This window comes from Homo sapiens, chromosome 7 (genome assembly GCF_000001405.40).
Source record: "Homo sapiens chromosome 7, GRCh38.p14 Primary Assembly".
Taxonomy (NCBI): Eukaryota; Metazoa; Chordata; class Mammalia; order Primates; family Hominidae; genus Homo; species Homo sapiens.
Genome location: NC_000007.14, coordinates 145,952,947 through 145,954,632, shown reverse-complemented (window position 1 = coordinate 145,954,632; position 1,686 = coordinate 145,952,947).

Below are 1,686 nucleotides of genomic sequence, written 5' to 3'. Positions count from 1 at the left end.
GGGAAGAAAAATCTCAATGTAAGTCTTATACCTTATCTAAGAGTTAACTCAAAATGGGTCACAATTTAAATGTACAGTTACAAAAATTTTAGGAAAATATACAAGAAGGAACTTAACAGAACCTAGGGTAAGGCAAGAGTTTTTAGATATAACACCAAAAGCATAGTTTATAAATTGAAAGTTGAATAAATTATGTTTCATCAGATTAAAAACCTTTGCTCTTGGAAGCACTCTCCTATTAAAATAATGAAAAGAAAAGCTACAGACTGAGATAACATATTTGCAAACCACATATGTGAGAAAGGACAGAATATATAAACAATTCTCAAAACTCAACAGAAAAAAAAGCAAGCCACTTAGAAAATAAGCACAATACATGAAATAACATTTTGTCAAAGAGGACATACACATAGCAAATAAATGCATGAAAAACTGTTCAACAATTTTAGTCAAATACCAATTAAAACCACAATGAGTTATCACTATATACTTATCAGAATGTCAAAAATGAAAATTAATGATAACAACAAATACCGATAAAACTGCAGAAAAACTGGATCACTCATTTAATATCAACAGGAATTTGAAATGGTATATCCACTCTGGAAACAGTTTGGCATTGTCTTAAAATTAAACAAGCCACTACCATGTGACCCAGCAAATGCATTAGTAGGCATTTATCCCAGAAAAATGTGAAGTTTTCTCACACAAAAACTTGTACATGAGTGTTCATGGCATCTTAATTCATAATAGCTAAGAACTGGAAACAATTCAGATGCCCTTAATAAATGGTTAAGTAAACACGACTATATCTATTCCATGGAATAATACTTAATAAAATAGGAATAAAGTTTTGATATGCACAACAACTTGAATGACTCTTCAGAACACTATGCTAAGCATAAAAAGTCAATCTCCAAAGGTTACATACAGCAAGATTATATTCTGTATATTATAAAATAACAATATTTTTAAAAAAGAGAACAGATTTTCAGACCATGGTTTCAGAGATTAAGGAGGTGAGGAAAGTGGATGTAACTATAAAGGGGCAGCATGAGGAATCTCTGTGGTGTTGGAATTGTTCTGTATGTTGATATCATGACTGTATCAATGTCAATATCCCAATTGTGATACTGTACTATGGTTTTGCAAGATGTCAGCACTGGCAAAAACTAGGTAAGGAGTAGATGTGGTCTCTGCATTATTTCCTGCAACTGAATGTGAGCCTATTGTATAAGTACAACAAAAAATGTAATTCAAAAACATATAAGGCAATAAAGAGTATGCAAGGGTTTTATCTGAAGTAAGCAAATATGGCACATTGAAATGTAAAGTAAAACATACAGTATTATGACATAGTAAATATAATGATAGATAATGACTGCATTACGGTTTTAATTTATTGTTATTGTTATTTTATTTTTTTTAAGATAAGGTCTTCTCACTTTTGCCCAGACTAGGAATGCAGTGGCGCCATAATGGCTCACAGCAGACTCGATCTGTTGGGCTCAAGACATTCTCTTGCCTCAGACTTCTGAGTAGCTGGCACTACAGGCGTGGGCCACCACATCTGGCTAATTTTTATTTTTTTACACTTTATTTTTTAGAAATGGGGTGTTGCTATGTTGCCTAGGCTGGTCTCGAACTCCTGGGCTCAGGTGATTCCCCCGCCTTGGCTTCTCAGAG